We start from the raw sequence: 19738 nt of genomic DNA on the forward strand, positions 1-19738 counted from the left end.
TATGCATTGTGCAAGGATTGCCACAATCAAATGAAGTAATGTATCACCATTCATGCTGTACATCAAACCCTCAGAACTTCACACTTTTTTTTTTTTTGAGACGGAGTCTCACTCTGTTGCCCAGGCTGGAGTGCAATGGTAATCTCAGCTCACTGCAACCTCCACCTCCCAACCTCAAGCAATTCACCTGCCTCTCAAGTAGTTGGGACTACAGGCACATACCACTCCACCCAGCTAATTTCTGTATTTTCATTTGACACACGGTTTCACCGTATTGACCATGCTGGGCTCAAACTCCTGACCTCACAATCCGCTTGCCATAGTCTCCCACTGCACTGCAACTACAAGCATCACAACATCTTTTTTTTCCTTCTGGACAATCTGGCGCCATAGCCCAAACGGGAATGCAAAGACACGATCTCTACTCACTGTAGGTCTGACCAGAATTGGTGGACTCTTGGTCTCACTGACTTCAATAATGAAACCACAGACCCTCCCCACGTGTGTTAAAAGCAGTATGTCCAGTTTCTTCCGTTTGTTGTTTGGATGGGTTTAGTTTTTTCCTTCAGACTTAAGTGATAAATGATACAGCTCTCAAGGCAGCTTGTCTGGAGTTACTCATTTCTCCCTGTGGGTTTGTGGTTTCAAAGGCCTTAGGAGTGAAACTACAGATTTTTAAGGTGAGAGTTACAGCTCATATGTGCACTACACACCCAATCACCTACAGCAAAATATATTGCCCACACTGGAGGAGAAAAAAAAAAAAAAACACATATTCCTCACAAAACAACACTATCCAATTAGATTGCCGCTGCTGGCTCCAGCAGCCAGCTTTTATTCCCTTATCCGGCCCCACCCACATCCTGCTGATTGGTCCATTTTACAGAGAGCTGATTGGCCCATTTTACAGCGAGCCCATTGGCCCATTTTACAGAGAGCTGATTGGTCCGCTTTGACATGGTACTGATTGGTGCGTTTACAAACCTTGAGCTAGACACAGAGTGCTGATTGGTGCATTTACAATCCTCCAGCTAGACATAAAAGTTCTCCAAGTCCCCGCTCATCTCAGGAGCCCAGCTGACTTCCCCCAGTGGATCGTTTTAGGGCTGCAGGCGGAGCTGCCCACCACTCCTATACTGTGGCGAGGGGCAGGGAGCATCTGTCGGGGAGCCCAAGGTGGGGGGTGTAGGCCTCGGGCATGGCGGGTGGGTTGTGAGCCCTGCCCCGTCGGGAGGTGGCTGACACCGGGGACGGGCCGGCGCGGGCGGGCCGGCAGTGGTGGGAAACTTGTCCGCCCCTCCCGGTGCAGGGCCTGTCGAGGCCGCGCCCACCCGGAACTTGCGCTGGCCCGCGAGCCGGTTCTCGCCTGCGCGTCTGTCTCCACGCCTTTTCCGTTCCCGCTCGCCCCTGTTTCTCCACACATCTCTGCAAATAGAGGGAGCCGGGTCTGGTCTCAGACAATGCAGAGAGTGGTTCCCACGGTGCAGCGGCGGGCTCCTCAAGCGCGGCCAGAGTGGGCACCGAAGCAGAGGAGGCGCTGAGAGGGAGTGCTGCCCGCACACTGTTACCTCTCACAAGCTCCGCCTCCCGGTTTCAGACCATTTTCTTGCCTCGGCCTCCGGAGTAGCTGGGACTACAGGCGCCTGCCCCCATGCCTGGCTAATTTCTTGTATTTTTAGTAGAGACAGGGTTTCACCGTGTTAGCCAGGATGTTCTCAGTCTCCAGACCTCGTGAATTGCCCGTTTCGGCCTCCCAAGGTGCTGGGATTACAGGCATGAGCCACCCCGCCAGGCCCAGAACTTCATCTTACAACTGAGAGTTTGTACTCTTTACCAACATCTTCTCGTTTTCCCCACCCCCAAGCCCCTGGTAACCACCATTTTACTTCTAAAACTTCAGCTGTTTTTAGATTCTTCATATAAGTGAGGTGATGCAGTATTTGTCTTTCTGTGTCTGGCTTATTTCACTTAATGTGATGTCTTCCAGGCTTATCTATGTTGTCGCAAATAATAGGATTCCCCTCTTTTTTCTTTATCCATTCATCTACTTTTTTTTTTCTTTTAGAGACAGGGTCTTGCTCTGTCACTGAGACTAGAGTGCAGTGGCACGGTCATAGCTCACTGCAACCTTGAACTCCTAGTTTCAAGCAATCTTCCCGCCTCAGTCTCATAAGTAGCTAAGACTACAAGCACAGACCGCCACACCCAGCTAATGTTTAAGTTTTTAGTAGAGGCTGGGTGCAGTGGCTCACACTTGTAATTCCAGCACTTTTGGAGGCCGAGGCAGGAGGATTACTTGAGCCCAGGAGTTTGAAACCAGCCTGGGCAACATGGCAAGACCTAGTGCTGCAAAACGTTTTTTAAAACTAGCAGAGCATGATGGCTCACGCTTGCAGTACAAGGTATTCAGGAGGCTAGGGCGGTAGGATTGCTTGAGCCCAGGAGTTTGAGACCAACCTAGGTGGCAGAGTGAGACCCTGACTCAAAAAGAAAAAAAAAATCAGTGTTGTGTCTGTATACTAACACTGAGCTATCTAAAAGAAAACCCCAAAGCATAAAAAAAAAAAAAAATCCCATTAGTAATATTATCAAAGAGAATAAAATAGGAATAAATTTAACCAAGAAGATGAAATTTCTGTATACTGAAAACTACAAAACATTGAGGAAAGAAATTGAAGAAGACACAAATAAATGGAAAGATTTCTCATTTTCATGGTTTGGAAGAATTAATAGAGTCATGCACCACATAACAGCACTTCGGTGTTGGCCCACATATCTGGTGATCTATAAGACTCTAATGAAACTGAAAAATTCCTATTGACTAGTGACATAGCCACTGTTATAGCAAAGTGCAACACATTACTCACGTGTTTGTGGTGATGCTCGTGTAAACAAACCTGCATTGCCAATCATATGAGTATAGCACATAAAGGCCAGGTGCAGTGGCTCACGCCTGTAATCCCAGCACTTAGGGAGGCCGAGGCGGGTGGATCACGAGGTCAAGAGATCGAGACCATCCTGCCCAATACGGTGAAACCCCCGTCTCTACTAAAAATTCAAAAACTAGCTGGGTGTGGTGGCGCGCACCAGTAGTCCCAGCTACTCGGAAGGCTGAGGCAGGAGAATCGCTTGAACCTGGGAGACAGAGGCTGTAGTGAGCCGAGATTGTGCCACTGCACTCTAGCCTGGCAACGGAGCAAGACTCTGTCTCAAAAAAAAAAGTATAGCACATAAAATAATGTGCAGTGCGCAATACTTGATGATTATAATAAACAACTATGTGACCAGTTTATGTATTTCCTATACTATAAGTTTTACTGTTATTTTAGAGTGTACTCTTTCTACTTATTTTTAAAAAATTAACTATAAAACAGCCTCAGGCAGGTCCTTCAGGAGGGATTCCAGAAGAAGGCATTGTTATCATAGGAGATGACAGCTCCATGCCTGTTTGTGCCCGTGAAGACCTCCCAGTGGGACAAGATGTGGAGGTGGAAGACAATAATATTGATGATCCTGACCTGTGTAAAGGTAGGCAAATATGCGTGTTTATGTCTGAGTTTTTAGCAAAAAAGTTTAAAAAGTAAAAAATATATAAAAATTTTAAAAATAGAAGAAAGGTTACAGAATAAGGATATAAGGAAAGAAGCTATTTTTGTATAGCTTTAAAATGTGTTTGTGTTTTAAGCTAAGTGTTATTGCAAAACAGTCAAAAAGTTTTAAAAAATTTTAAAGATGAAGTAAAAAAGTTACAGTAAGCTAAGGTTAATTTTTTATTAAAGAAAAAATATTTTTTACAACTCTAGCGCAGCCTATGTGTACAGTGTTTATACAGTCTGTAGTAGTGTACAGTGATGTCCTAAGCCCTCACATTCACCCATCACTCACTCACTGACTCACTCAGAGCAACTTGAGTCCTGCAAGCGCCATTCACGGTAAGTGCCTTATACAGGTGGACCATTTTTTATCTTTTATACAGTGTTTTTACTTTTTCTATGTTTAGATATGTTCAGATGCACAAATACTTACCACGGTGTTACGGTTACCTACAGTATTAAGTACAGTAACATGTACCAGTTTGTAGCCTAGGAGCAACAGGCTATCCCACATAGCCTAGGTGTGTAGTAGCCTATCCCATCTAGGTTTGTGTAAGTACACTCTATGATTTCACACAATTATGAAGTCGCCTAATAATGAACTTCTCAGAAGATATTCCTGTCCTTAAGTGACACATGACTGCATTGTTAAGATGACCCCATTACCCAAAGTGATCTACGGAGTCAATGTCATCCCTACTAAAATTCCAGTGTCATTTTTACAGTAATAGAACACAAATCCTAACTTTCATATGGATTTTAGTACTTCTGATCTCCAGAATTGTAAGATAATCTGTATTGTTTTAAGACTAGGAAATTAATACTATTCTGTAGACTTTATCAGTGGCATTATACATACTCACCTACTTAACAGAGTGCTAGCTGGGAAAAGGTGTCTGTAAAGAGCTTTATGAGGTGATGCTCAACTGGGACAGAAAGGGAATTCTATAAACAGATCGGGTGATGTTAGGGAACTTAAATTATTCATTTATGTATGAATTGCCTTATGAATATTTATAAGCATATGTCTGAATATTATAAACATATCCAGATTTCATATATATAATATACACACACACACATACACACACACATCTCACACAAATACACACATACACACCATCTTGAGAGAGGTGTAAACAGAAGAGTGTGATATAAGAGTACTTAATCCATTTTAGAATTACACATGCCTTACGCAGACTTTCCCCATATAGTACTTGAAAAATTAAAGTGTTGCAAGGGTTAGTTTGGGAGAGGGGGAGATGGAGTTCTTGGGAGGTAAACCAATTAATAATTAGAATTATTTAAGTGAAATAATACAAACATGCACCGGTGTTTCATGGTGGAGTAGTTATTGACTTTATTGATTTTCTCTAAGAATATGAAAAATCTTAAACACGTTGTGGATATATCTGATCTTTGAGCAAAACTGAAAATGTTTTAACTTCTGCTTTAATATCATTAGGGTCAAAGCCAAGTGTATAAATAGATGCCTTGAGTTATGGTGCCAACTTGTAAACCTAAATTCCACCCCAATTACAATGTTTTGAGGAGCACAAATCACTGAGATTCTCCTAGCCAAAATAACACCCTTTACTCTCATCATGATGACCGAAGTTCAATTAGGAGCCATTTATTTCTGTAAGACCTCTAGTCTTCATCTTCTCTCAAAATGTCAACACCCACAGGCTGGGTAGCTTTCAAGGGGGTTCTCACCAACTACCATAACAGGAATAACCACTGAAGAATCCTTTTTAGGGCAGTAGGTGGTGAGAAGGGAGGGTAATATTAAAAGGACGCAGAGGACACCAGAATCTGCTGAACACTGGCCATAGCCACAGTCTAAGAACTCTATTGTGGCCGGGCGCGGTGGCTCACGCCTGTAATCCCAGCATTCTGGGGGGCCGAGGTGGGCAGATCATGAGGTCAGGAGATCGAGACGATCCTGGATAACACGGTGAAACCCTGTCTCTACTAAAAGTACAAAAAATTAGCCAGGTGTGGTGGCAGGCACCTGTAGTCCCAGCTACTTAGGGGGCTGAGGCAGGAGAATGGCGTGAACCCGGGAGGCAGTGCTGCAGTGAGCCGAGATTGCGCCACTGCACTCCAGCCTGGGCGACAGAGTGAGACTCTGTCTCAAAAAAAAAAAAAAAAAAAAAAAAAAAAAAAAAAAAAAAAAAAAGAACTCTCTTGTTACCAAACTTTGCTGCAAGCAAAATTGTGAAATAATTACTGCTAGTTGCATTAAATGCATTATTTCACCTTATCCCTACAACAGACCCACTTAAAAAGTGCTAATGAGATTCCAAATTTACAGGTGCATAAAATGAGGCATAGAGCTAGAAGTTGAAGAGTCAGTACTAAGTGCCAGGTCCGTGGGCCTCATTACTCTGCCTGTATTTATCCTATGAAGATTATCTTGGGCACCGGCCTCTTCCTTCACTGTGCCCTGACTTTCCATCTCAGATGCTCTGTGCTCTCCTGTCACCCTGTTGCTTGCACCCTCTCACTTAAGAGTCTCCATTATGATGGGTTCCAGACCCCTCCCTGAACTCCCTTCCACAGTGGCAAAGCTGGGGGTGGTTTAACTCCAGGTAGGTTGCAGATGGAACTGAGAGACTCCACAGGGCTAACATGCACTTAGCAGGAAGTCCAAAGAAGGAGAAAGGTAGCACCGTGCTGATTTAGTGCTATGCAACAAGCCAAGGCAATACCTGGAGTTATTTGGCAGCCATTGAAGGCCTCCCCTGCTCAGGGTACTGTGGTAGGTGCTGGGCAATTGCAGCCAGAGCTGGGAAAGTCTGAGACTGTGCAGTGGGGACACAGCCACATGAAGCAAGACTTTAAGGTAAGAGAAATAGAGCACAGAAGAGCCTATTGTTCTAGGATCCAAAATAGTGATTCTGTATTAGAATTGGAGTACAAGAAACAAAGCAAGAGCTTAATTACTAGAATAGGACTTAAGGTGAGAGTTGGCCAAGCAGCAACCTTGACCTCAAACTACTCAGCTGTGTTTGAATTTCTGCCGGATTAGTAGGGCTCAGCCTGCAGCGGATGCTCCTGTAGCCCAAACCATTGTTTTTCAAACTACAGGTCATGACCTGTCCAGTGATCATGGAATTGGTTTCATGGGTGGCAGTTAGCACTCTTTAAAATAAATAAAATAGACTAGAAAAGAAAATAACAAAGTGCATTGCATGTCGTAAGGATTTCAGCGTTAGGTACACGTGTCTTATGTTGTGATGTAAAATTTATTTCTTAATGTTACTGTCAAAAAAAGCTTGAAAACTCCTGGTTTGAAACTCATGGATATAGGGCAGAAAGCCAGGTTAGTCATTATGTTTAAAATATTTTCTGCTTTTCCCAGATGACTGTGAGCTAATGTAATGAACCAATCCAGGCTGCGGTGTGGCTAGATATGAATGAATTAAGGCGTACAGCTTCTCTCATGGAGATTTTCCACATATAGCCCTGCTTGAGAAACAGAATTGTGGAATAAAGATGGAATACTTTAAGATTTTATCTTTTCTAGAGCAGTTTTAGGTTTGCAGCGAAAATGAGAAGAAGATACAAAGATATCCTATATGCCCTCTACTCCCCTACATGCACAGCCTCCCCTATTATCAACACCCCCCACCAGACTCACAGCTATGAACCTACATTGACACATCAGGATCACACAAAGTGCAGAGTTTACATTAGGGTTCACTCCTTTTTTTTGAGACAGAGTTTCCCTCTTGTTGCTCAAGCTGGAGTGGCTGGAGTGCAATGGTACAATCTCGGCTCACTGCAACCTCCACCTACCGGTTTAAGTGATTCTCCTGTCTCAGCCTCCCAAGTAGCTGGGATTATAGGCGCCTGCCTCCATGCTTGGCTAATTTTTTTGTATTTTTAGTAGAGACAAGGTTTCACCATTTTGGCCAGGCTGATCTCGAACTCCTGACTTCAGGCGATCCACCGGCCTCAGCCTCCCAAAGTGCTGGGATTACAAGCATGAGTCACCCGCGCCCAGCCAGGGTTCACTGTTGATGTTGTACCTTCTGGGGGTTTGGTCAAATGCATAGTGACATGCATCCACCATTATAGTATCATACAGAGTAGTTTCACTGCCCTCAAAACATCCTCTGTGCTCTACCTGTTCATCCCTCCCTCTCCCAAACACCTGGCAACAACTGATATTTTTATAGTCTCCATAGTTTTGCGTTTTCCAGAATGTCATACAGTTGGAATCACACTGCATGCAGACTTTTCAGATTGGCTTCTTTCATTTAGTAATATGCATTTAAGTTTCCGCTATGTCTTTTCATAGCTTGATCACTCGTATCTTTTCAGTGCTGAATGAATTCCATTGTCTGGATGTACCACAGCTTATTTACCCATTCACCTGCTGAAGGACATCTTGATTTCGTCCAAGTTTCAGCAATTATGAGTACAGCTGCTATAAATATCCATGTGAGGTTTTTGTGTAGACATAGCTGTCAACTTCTGTGGGTAAATATGAAGAAGTGAGATTGCTGGATTGCATGGTATGAGTGTGATTAGTTTTGTAAGAAACCACCAAACTGTCTTCCAAAGTGGCTACACCATTTTATATTACCACCAACAGTAAGTGAGAATTCCTGTTGTTCCATGTCCTCACCAACATGTGGTGTTGTCAGTGTTCTGGATTTTGGCTATTCTAACAGGTGTGTAGTGGTATTTTACTGTTGTTTTAATTTGAATTCCTGAGGCATATGATGTGGAGCATCTTTTCATATGCTTATGTACCTTATGTGTATCTTCTTTGGTGTCGTGTCTGTTAAGGTCTTTGGACCCTTTTAAAATCAGGCTGTTTTCTTATTGTTGAGTTTGATTTCTTTGTATGTTTTTGATAATGGTCCTTTACCGTATATGTCTTTTGCAAATATTTTCTCCCTGCCTGTGGCCTTGTCTTTTCATTCTCTTAATAGTGGCTTTCACAGAGCAGAAATTTTTAATTTTAATGAAGTTCAGCTTATCAATTGTTTCTTTCATGAATTGTACCTTTGGTATATTAAATAAAAGTTACCACCAAACGCAAGACTATTCAGATTTTCCACTACGTTATCTTCCAGGAGTTTTATAGTTTTGTGTTTTATGTTTAGGGCTGTGATCCATTTTGAGTTAATTCTTGTGAAGTGTGTAAGATCTGTGCCTAGATTTTTTTCCAGTTGTTCCAACACCATTTATTAAAAAGAATATCTTTTCTCCATTGTATTCCCTTTGCTCCTTTGTCAAAGATCAATTGACTATGTTTACATGGCTCTATTTCTAGGCTCTCTATCCTATTCATTGATCTATTTGTCCATTATTTTGCCAATACCACATTGTCTTAATTATTATAGCTTTATTGTAACAGTTGAAGTCAGGTAGCCTCAGTCCTCCAACTTTGTTTGTTGTTCTTCAATATTGTGTTGGTTAATTTGAGTCAATTGCCTCTTTGTATAAACTTCAGCATTCATTTGTCAATAGCTACAAAGTAATTGGCTGGGATTTTGAATTGAATTCTATTGAATCTATAGATCAAATTGAGAAGAATGGACATTCTGACAATATTGAGTCTTCCTATTGATGAATATGTAATATCTTTCCATTCATTTAGTTCTTTTTTAATTTCTTTCATCCAAGTTTTATCAATTTTCTCATACTTTTATACATATTTTGACTTATACCTAAGTATTTCATTTTGGGGGATGCTAATGTAAATAGTATTGTATTTTTAATTTCAAATTCCATGTGTTCACTGTTGGCATATAGGAAAGTGATATGGTTGGATGTTTTGTCCCCTCCAAATCTCTTGTTGAAATGTGACCTCCAGTGTTGGAAATGAGCCTAGTGGGAGGTGTTTGAGTGATGGGGATGGATCCTCATGAACAGCTTGGTGCTGTCCTTGCTGTAATGAGTGAGTTCTCGCTCTACGAATTCACACGAGATCTGGTTGTTTAAGAGAGCCTGGCACCTCCCTCTTCTTGCTTCCTCTCTCAACATATGATATGCTGGCTCCCCTGTTTGCCTTCTGCAATGATTGAAAGCTTCCTGAGGCCTCATCAAGAGCAGATGCCAGCACATGCTTCTCCTACAGCCTGTAGGACCATGAGCCAAATAAACCTCTTCTTTATAAATTACCCAGCCTCAGGTATTTCTTTATAGCAATACAAATGAACTAACACAGAAAACTGGTACTGAGGAGAGGGGTGTTGCTGTAAAGATACCTGAAAATGTAGAAGCATCTTTGGAACTGGGTAATGGGCAGAGGTTGAAAGAGTTTGAAGGGATCAGAAAAAGATAGGAAGATACAGGAAAGTTTGGAACTTCTTGGAGACGTATCAAGTGGCTATGGCCAAAATGCTGATGGAAATTTGGACAGTGAAGGCCAAGTTGACAAGGTCTCAGATGGAAATGAGGAATTTATTGGGAACTAGAGCAAAGGTCATCCTTGATACACCTTAGCAAAGAATTTGGCTGCACTGTGTTGATGTCCTAGGGATTTGTAGAAGTTTGAACTTAAGAGTAATGGCCTAGGGTATCAGGCAGAAGAAATTTTTAAACAGCAAAGCATTCAAGATGTGGCATGGCTGCTTTTAACAGCCTATAATCAGATACAGGAGTAAAGAAATGACTTAAAGTTGGAACTTATAATTGAAAGGGAAGCAGAGAGTAAAAGTTTGGAAAATTTGCAGCCTGGTCATGTGGTAAAGAAGGAAATAGTGTTTTTAGGAGAGAAATACAAGCTGGCTGTAGAGTAATCATTTGTTAGTGAGATTTGCATGACTGAAAGGGAGCCAGATGCTAATAGACAAGACAGTAAGAAAAATGCCTCAAAGGCATTTCAGAAGTCTTTGAGGCTGCCCCTCTCATCATAGGCCCAGAGGCCTAGAGGAAAGAAAGGCTTGGGGGGCCAGACCCAGGGGCCTGCTGCCCTACACCACCTTGGGACAATGTTTCTTGCATCCAGGCCACCCAGTTTCCAGCCAGAACTCAAAGGGCACCAGGTGCATCTCAAACTGCTGCTCCAGGGGGCACAAGCCATAAGCCTTGCTGGCTTCCATGTGTTGTTAAGTCTTCAGGTGCACAGAATGCAATAATGAAGGAGGCTTGTCAGCTTCTCCATAGATTTCAGAAGATGTATCAGAAAGCCTGGGTGCCCAGCAGAAGGCTGCCGCAGGGGTGGAACACTCGCTGACTCTACTAGGGCAGTGCCAAGGGGAAATATGGAGTTGAAGGCCCCACATACAGTCCCCACCAGCACACTGCCTCATGGATCTGTGGAAAAGGGGCTGCCACCCTCCAGACTCCAGAGTGGTAGAGCTATCAGCAGCTTAGACATTGAGCCTGGCAAAGCTGCAGACACTCAACTCCAACACCTGAGAGAAGCCATGGGGGCTACACTCTGCGAAGCCACAGGGGCAGGCAGCTGCCCAAGGCCTTGAGATCCCACTCCTTTAATCAGTGTGCCCAGGATGCAAGACATGGAGTCAAAGGATATTATTTTGGAGTTTTAAGGTTTAATGACTGCCATGCTGGGTTTCAGACTTGTGTGGAGCCCATTGCCCCTTTTTTTTTGGCTGATTATCCCCTTTTGGTCTGGGAATTTTTACCCATTGTCTGTACCAGCACTGCATCTTGGAAGCAGATAGCTTGTTTTTTTATCTTACAGGCTCATAGATAGGTGGAACCTACCTTGGGTCTCAGACAAGACTTTGGACTTTTGATTGAGATGATGCTGAGTTTGAATGAGTTAGGACTTTGGGGGACTATTGGGAAGGGATGATTGTATTTACAATGAGAGAAGAACATGAGATTTGGGGGTCCATGTGCTGAATGATATGGTTTGCATGTTTTTTCCCCTTCAAATCTCATGTTGAAATGTGACCTCCAATGTTAGAGGTGAGCCTAGTGAAAAGCGTTTGGTTTAGGGGGTGGATTGCTCATGAATGCCTTGGTTCTGTCCTTGTGGTAATGAGTGAGTTCTCACTCTGTGAATTCACAGGAAATCTGGTTGTTTAAAAGAGCCTGAAACCTCCCCTGCCTCACACCCTCTCTCATCATGTGACACATACTGGCTCCCCCTTTTGCCATCTACCATGATTGGAAGCTTTCTGAGGCTTCACCAGGAGCAGGTGCCAGCACCATGCTTCTCATACAGCCTGCAGAACCATGAGCCAATATAAGCCTCCTTTCTTTATAAATTACCCAGCCTCAGGTATTCCTTTATAGCAATGCAAATGGACTAACTTAGAAAGTGATTGATTTTCGTATACTAACCTGGTATCCTGCAATCTTGCTATATTTGTGTATTAGTTCCAGAAGTTTTCTGTTGATTCTTTTGCATTTTCTATGTAGACAGTCATGTCATCTATAGAAAAAGTTTTATTTCTTCTTCCCAATCAGTACACCTTTTATTTCCTTTTTGGTCTTATTGTATTGCTAGAACTTCCAGTATAATGTTGAAAAGGAATGGTGAGTGGGGACATCCTTGCCTTATTCTTGATCTTAGTGAGAAAGCTTCTCGTTTCTCACCGTCAAGAATAGTGTTGGCTATGGATTTTCTGTAGATAGTCTTTATCAAATTGAGGAAGTTCACCTCTATTCCTAGTAAGATTGAACACTTTTAAAACTAAATGAGCTCTCAGTTGTTTCAATACTTTCAGGGTTATTTACATGTTAACAAAGGTATCACACTGATCGGTAGTCTGTGAGTCATTGTACTATTTTGCCTTCAGTAGGCAGTAAACTAGAGCTAGTTTTGGGGACTTTGCTCTGGCCAGCATGGCAGTGCTGTTTCATGGCTAAGTCGTGAGCTTTTCACCTCTTGGTTTATCTCAGTAGCTAATGCCAGTGAATCCAAACTCTGGATCCTGAAATCTTTCTTTGTCTTCAATTCCATATCTTCAATTACTCAGTAGACATTGTCACTTCAGATCTCTTTCCCCATCCAATCCTATCCAAAAATTTTGTCTTCTTTCCCCAAACAAGCAAGCATCTCCTCTCTCTTCTGTCTTTATTAATGACACTAACATCCTTTCAATAATCCACATTTTAAAGTTTGGGATCATATTTACTTCTCTTCTTTTATTCATTCCCTTGATACATGTACATATACTCTCAAGATAGAATAAATATTTGTTGAGGTATGGTCTTCTTTGTCTTAGGTTTCCCATTTCTAATTTCTACCTCATATCAGTACCAGAGAAAGCTTTTCTAAAGCCATCTCTATCATGCTATTTCTCCTCTGCAAATAAGTGACTCTCATTTCCTGCTACATTTCCTGCCAGAATGCATTTCCTTGCATTGTTTTCTGGCTTTTTCCATTCTTCACCTCAAACTCCTTCTCTCTGCCTCCCAGATTTAAACTTATTTCCAGTTATTTATTTAACAAACACTTAAATCGCACTTCCTCTGCTGCAGGAACTGTTCTAAATGCTTTAAAAAATCTTAAATCTTTAACCCACATTAAAAACTCTGTGAAACAGTATTATTACCCGCCACGTTACACGTGAGATACCTGAGGCACAAATTGGTCTATTAACCTCAGAATGTCTAGAGTCCTAGAGTTCATCTCACTATTTTCCAGGTATTTTGTATGCCAGGGACTGAATGTTTTTGTCCCTCCAAAATTCACATATTGAAATCCTAATCCCCAGTGTGATGGTCTTAGGAAGCGGGACCTTTGGTAGGTAATTAGGTCTTTATACATGGAATTAGTGCCCTTTTAAAAGCTCTGGAGAGCTCCCCCGCCCTTTCCACTATATGATGACACAATGAGAAGGCAGCAGTCTATGAACCAGGAAGTGGGCCCTCACCAGTCACCGAATCTGCAATGCCTTGACGTTGGACTTCTCAGTCCCTAGAACTGTGAAAAATAAATTTCTGTTGTTTGTAAGCCACCCAGTTTATGGTTTTCTGATACAGCAGCCTGACTGGTCTAAGACAGACAGAAAGGGACATAGTTATTCTACCTGCAATGTTGTTTCCCTCACCTGAAATGCCACCCCATCTACCTGGTAGTTATAAAGATCCTCATCTTTCTTTCTTTCTTTTCTTTTCTTTTTTTTTTTTTTTTTGAGATTGAGCCCCACTCGGTCACCCAGGCTGGAGTGCAGTGGCACAATCTCTGCTCGCTACAACCTCCGACTCCCAGGTTCAAGCAATTCTCCTGCCTCAGCCTCCCGAGTAGCTGGGACTACAGGAACCCGCCACCACGCCCAGCTAATTTTTTAATATTTTTAGTAGAGACAGGGTTTTGCCGTGTTGACCAGGCTGGTCTCAAACTCCTGACCTCAGGTGATCCACCCGCCTCGGCCTCCCAAAGTGCTGAGATTATAGGCATGTGCCATCGTGCCCAGCCCTACCCATCTTTCAAAGCCCAATTTTTGGCATTCACCCATCTCCTTGGTGACTTATCTTTCTTAAAAACTCCAGGTTTCTTATTGTTTATCTCCACTTATTCCTACAGTCTTCTACACGTAAGTTGCCACTTTATCATATAGCTATATTATGTCTCCCTTACGTTTCATTCATGTGCAATTGTCTTGTCTTGGAAGCAAAGACCATAGCATGTAAGTGTTTTCTATTCCTCCCTTTTGCTTCTTTACTTCTTTGCCCTCTTTATCCTTCCTCCCACCCATCCAATCCTTAAAAATATTGAGTACATAAAAATATTACAGAAATAATGAATTGACATTAGCAGTCATCATTTTATAGGGAGAAAGGGGAAGCCTAGTGCATTGGTTTGGATCCTCTGAGAAGCAGATAACAAGACAGAATTAGCCATGCAAGAGATTTATTGGGGTAAATGTCTGTGATGGAAAAAGAGGAGAGAGTCCATAGAAGTGGGGACAGTATTTAGAACACAATGCTGGAAGACTCTTGTAAAAAAGAGGAGGAAGGGTGGGGCAGGGAGAATCTCAGACTGCAGCAGAGTTCCAAGAAAGTCCCCATCCAGTGACTGTGGAGTCCTCAAGCTAATGTCAGAAAGAGGAGACTGGCCCTTCTCAGGAAAAGGTTGCATTGGGACCCTGCAGAGCCAGAAAAATCACTGGCTGTAGCAGCTTGGGGGAAATGTGGCCTGGGCATGAACACAGAGATAGACTTGGAGTACAGCAGTCATGGCCATTGGTGATATATACTCATGACAGCAGAAGATCTGAGCAGCACATTTTTGTGACCATCCCTTCTGGAACGTTGGAAAGAATGCTAATTCTGAATCCAAAATCTTAACTTTGGATCCCTTACTGACTCTGCACCTTCACTTAAATTCTTATCTACATCTCTTCATTTGTAAATGGAAATGACCAATAGCTTACTGGGTATGATGATTAATTTTGTGTGTCACCTTGACTGGGCTAAGGGATGTCCAGAGAGCTGGTAAAACATTATTTCTGGGTTGTTTGTGATGATGCTTCCAGAAGAAATTAGCACTTGAATCAATAGACTGAGTAAAGATCACTCACTAAGTGATGATGGCTGTGGGCAGCATCCTCCAATCCACGGAGGGCTCACACAGAATGGAAAGGTGGAGGAAGGACAAATACTCTCTCCTTCAGCCTGGACATCCATCTCCTCGTGCCCTCAAACATCAGAGCTCCTATTATAGTTCTTGGGCCTGCAGACTCAACAGGCAGTTACACCATTGGCTAGCCCAGTTCGCAGGCCTTCGGATTCAGATGGAATTACACCACCAGTTTTCCTGGTTCTACAGTTTACAGACAGCAGATTATAGGACTTCTCAGTCTCCATAATCTCATGAGCCAATTACTATAATAAATCGCCCCTTATATCCATCTACTACATATACATCCTGTTGGTTCCATTTCTCTGAAGAACCCTGACTAATGCACTGGGCTAGCCTGAGAACCACACGTTGACAAGAATATATAGTGTTCTGTTTATATTGCATATTATGTCATCAGGTCTATCTGATTATAGTAGCACCTAATGTTTGTGAAACATCACACAGGTCACAGCAAGCCTTTGTTCCAGCCAATGAGCCTGTGAAGAAGGCGAGACAACCATTTCTTTCCACATCCACTGCCCCGTTGGCTCTCTGGTAAACAGAAAGGTTCTAGGAGGGGACACTGAAATGCTCAGTAGAGGTGGGATCAAGCCCCAGAGGCTGCTTGCCAGGTAGGATCTGGTTGTAACTATGATAATTAAGGAATCAAATTCCTGAGAAAAAAATGTACATAAAGAATCAGGTAGTCCCTATTGATCTACGTAGCCTGGAGAGCTGGTCCAGTGGGCAGGCTGGCCAGATGCAGAGTCCAGCAGGTAAGAAACAATACCACCTGCAAACCTGAGACTCAGGAAGTGAGTTCTGATCTGGGACACCCACAACAGTGCCGACTCCCCCACCCTTTCTGGTGTGCAGGTGGAAGGAGGGTGCATAGGTGTGAGTGGCAGATCTGGGGAGAAGGGGAAGCTGCCAGTACAATTTGCTTTTGCCTATGTAGGAGCAGAGGGCTCTGCCTTCAGGGCCAGCCAGCTACTGTGGGTCTTTACAGCAAGCACTGGCTGAATAAACCTACCTTCCCTTATGGGCCTTGACCCTCGACACAAATGCCAAGTTAGTAGCCTCAGAATTGTCTTTTCTCTTCAGAGAGAAGCGTGGAAAAGATAAAGCCAGAGGCAAGGAAAACTTCTCACTCTTCTCTGGCATGCCAGGTTCAAAGAATGCCAATAGCACCCATCATCCCACCCCATGAAGAACAGCAGCAGCCCCGAATTGGGGAAGAGCATCATGACTAATGTGCTAGAGGTTGCACTTGCACAGATGATAGAATTTATAAAAGAAATTCAACATGGGTTCTGTTATGGGTTGAATTGTGTCCTCTCAAAACAGATATGCTGAAGTCCTAACCCCCAGAACCTCCAAATGTGACTTTGTTTGGAAAAGGTCACATTCTGATGACCTTTATAGAGGTTATCAAGTTAGAATGAGGTCATTAAGACAGGCCTAATCCAACATGACCGGTGTCCTTTTAAAAAGAGGAAATTTGGACACAGACACATCCACACACAGAGACCTCCAAGTGGAGATGAAGGCAGATAGTGGGGTGATGCTTCTGCAAGCCAAGGAACGCTGAAGACTGAAGGCAAACCACCAGAAGCCAGGGGCGAAGCCTGGGACAGATTTTTTCTCCCAGTCCTCAGAAGGAACAAGCCCAGATGATACTTCATCTCAGACTTGCAGCCTGCAGAACTGTGAGAGATCCATTTCTGCTGTTTAGCCCTCATCTGTGGCACTTTATTACAGCAGTCCCTTCCCCACAGACACTAGTACTAGTCCTAGGAAAGTTCACTCAAGCTGGCAGTGGCTCAGGAGGAGAATGAAAAGGATACTGAGGCCACTCGTTTGCTTCTACTTGAGGACAAGCAGGTGCCTCTCTTCCCGCTTCTTTCTCCTTACTGCTGCTGCCACCCACACAGCCCCCAGGCTTGTCCTAGAGGGCTCTGGAGGTACACGCGAGGCCGGCGAGTTGTCATGGCAGGGAAGTTGTGGGGAGGGTGGAAATGGCGATTTCCATTCCTTTTTTCCTATTTCATGTCCTGCCTGGAACATGAAACAAAACAAAACAAAACAAGACCAAATGCCCTTGGTCAAAACACCTCTGCATCCAAATAGCCTCTGAGGCAAGGCAGCTTCTGAGGCAAGGCGGGGCATCGCCGCACAGAGGCTTGGAGCCTTTGAGGAACAAAGAGGGCTTCAGAGCGCGCTGGCACTCCTTGGCTCACCCATTGATTTTCATTTGCACAGACGCAGGCCCTCTTTTTGTAATCAGAGGGGGGAAAGCAGATCTGTGGAAGGCAAATCTACCATCAGCTGCCTAAAAATAGACCCGCCGCCTCACCACCGTGCAAAACAGGCGCCGGCCCGCTGCTGTGCGCTGGTTGCAGCATGAATTCGCTGGGCAGGGATTTGCAGTATAGACGTAGAGTTGTTCTGGCCTCTGATGCTGCGCCCGGGCCTTAAATGGAATCGCGGTCTGTGATAACTTTTGACAAGAGCTGGCAAGCTGAGCCTTTCTTTGAAATGCACTGGGGGGCTCTCGCACAAGAGCCAGGGCTTTCCAACAGGTGTGAGCTAGGGGGTAGGCCCTACAGATTATTAGGAGGGAAAGTTGTCTATGGTAAATTACCAACTGGGGGAGGTCAGAGTCAAAATCTCCATAGCAGAATTATTACTAATTGTGAAGCGCCAAGATCGTAAGAGAAGAAACCATTCTGACGTGTCATTTTTCCCAGGCCACGACATCTCTGTTAAACAAAAGAGACTCATATTTGAAGTGATGAAAAAGCCATGAAACATAATTTGAAAATTATGTCATGCCCAGCTTTGCCTTCCCTCAAGGCAAATAAAAGCCTCGGAATAAAAACGTTTCTATTTATTTTCAAATATTTGCATGGGTTGCCCCTTTAATCATCCATTCCCTCTAATATTAGTCACAAGCAGTTTAAATGGAAGCTGTTAGCATGAATGAACACTCCTTAATGGCTGGATCACTGGAGGAAGTGAGCTGTAAAGCCCAAACAGTCAGATGAAGAAAAGCAATTAATAAAATTTGCCTTTATCTCAAAGAAACTAGGATGTTTTAACTGCAGTTATGTTTTGAAGGAAACAAATATGATGGTTGATTATCACGGAAAATAGACTGAAGCCTGCCCACTTGTAAATTCACAAACTCACTTCAAGTGGAAAACCCAAGTCTGCATCCTCGAGGAATTGTACAAATGTGCATCACGAGACAAGATCTGGCCCAATGCCTAGAAGCTGGTGAGGTCACCAAACTCATTACTCAGAAAATCAGCTGTGAGCCAAGCCCTCATTCCGTTGCATTTCACATAGAATGGAGATTCCTCCGTCTTTCCCATGCTCCCACCTCCCATCATTAGAAGAAAAATGGGATTCCCAGGTATTTAACTTTAGGAATCTTACAGAGATCCAACATGGACGCTTTCACGCCACATCCTGATTTTAGCTGTGGCTCTTCTTGCTCTGTCTGGAGGCATCTCAGCAGTTAATGGGAGTGATTCACATGATCCTACTCCAATTCCTGCTATTTTAGGATACTTAGCTTTTCTTAGCCATGGATTTCTTCTGTCTAAATCTGCCCGACTGAATTGGAAGCTGCCCAGAATCTTCTTCTTTGGAAATTACATTTGTGCATCTAGGGTATATTTGTCGTTCCGCCCACGCTCCAGCCACTTTTTGAGAAGTGCAGAGCGAGTCATGTGACAGCCATCAGTGTATTTGCACCCTTTTTTGTTTAAAAACATAATCTGCATTACAAATTGCACCAATTCCTGTATGTAGTAAGTCATCATTCAATAAAAAGCACAAATGTATGCCTGTCACATTCAACATAATAAACTGCAAGTAAATACATCTTTTCTTAGTCCAAATCAGTCAGTAAATGATGTCTTTATTTTCTCTGTTATGCACCAAGTTTGCAATCAGCTTTATTCTTGATTCTCTCAGGCCAAGCCTACACAGCGTTAACTGCAGTGGAAGATTGTGCTTTTATCAGAAGCAGCTGAACACCTGAGGACAGGAACATGGCTGAAGCAATTCATTTCTCCAATTCACTTTGTTCTACTTTATCATCATCATTCCGGTATTATCATCATGTTCATCAGATTCTCCATCTAAAAAAGATTTATCACAGTGTCTGCATCTGCAGGCGATACTACAATATAGATAAAACCATTGCTCCCTGCCTGCTCCGGATGAGTTTGCAAAGAGGTATGGTATAGAAGAAACACTTTGTGCTTTGAAGCAAGACAAAACTGAGTTAAAATGGCAATCTTAGCCTGGGCAACATAGTGAGACCCCCATCTCTGCAAAAAATACAAAAATTAGCTGAGCATGGTGGTGCATCTGTAGTCCCAGCTACTCGGTAGGCTAAGGCAGGAGAATCGTCCGAACTTGGGAAATTGAGGCTACAGTGAGCCATGATCGTGCCACTGCACTCCAGCCTGGGTGACAGAGAGAGACCCTGTCTCAAAAAAATAAAAAATAAAATTGCGGTCTTATTACTTACATTAGATATTTGTTTTTGGTAATATTATTCAACCCCTGAGAGCCTTCATTTCCTTATCTATATGATGACAAGAATAGTTACCTTACA

At 43.1% G+C, this 19738-nt stretch overlaps 1 long non-coding RNA gene across 1 annotated transcript; it reads left to right on the forward strand.

The window, feature by feature from the left end:
- Nucleotides 1-1067: 1067 nt before the first annotated feature.
- Nucleotides 1068-19476, forward strand: LOC105374951 (uncharacterized). Its single transcript, XR_926534.3, has 3 exons — nt 1068-1176; nt 3375-3528; nt 19090-19476. It is a non-coding gene; the product is annotated as an uncharacterized LOC105374951 (long non-coding RNA).
- The last annotated feature ends 262 nt before the right edge of the window (nt 19477-19738 follow it).

This window comes from Homo sapiens, chromosome 6 (assembly GCF_000001405.40).
Source record: "Homo sapiens chromosome 6, GRCh38.p14 Primary Assembly".
NCBI classification, from domain to species: domain Eukaryota; kingdom Metazoa; phylum Chordata; class Mammalia; order Primates; family Hominidae; genus Homo; species Homo sapiens.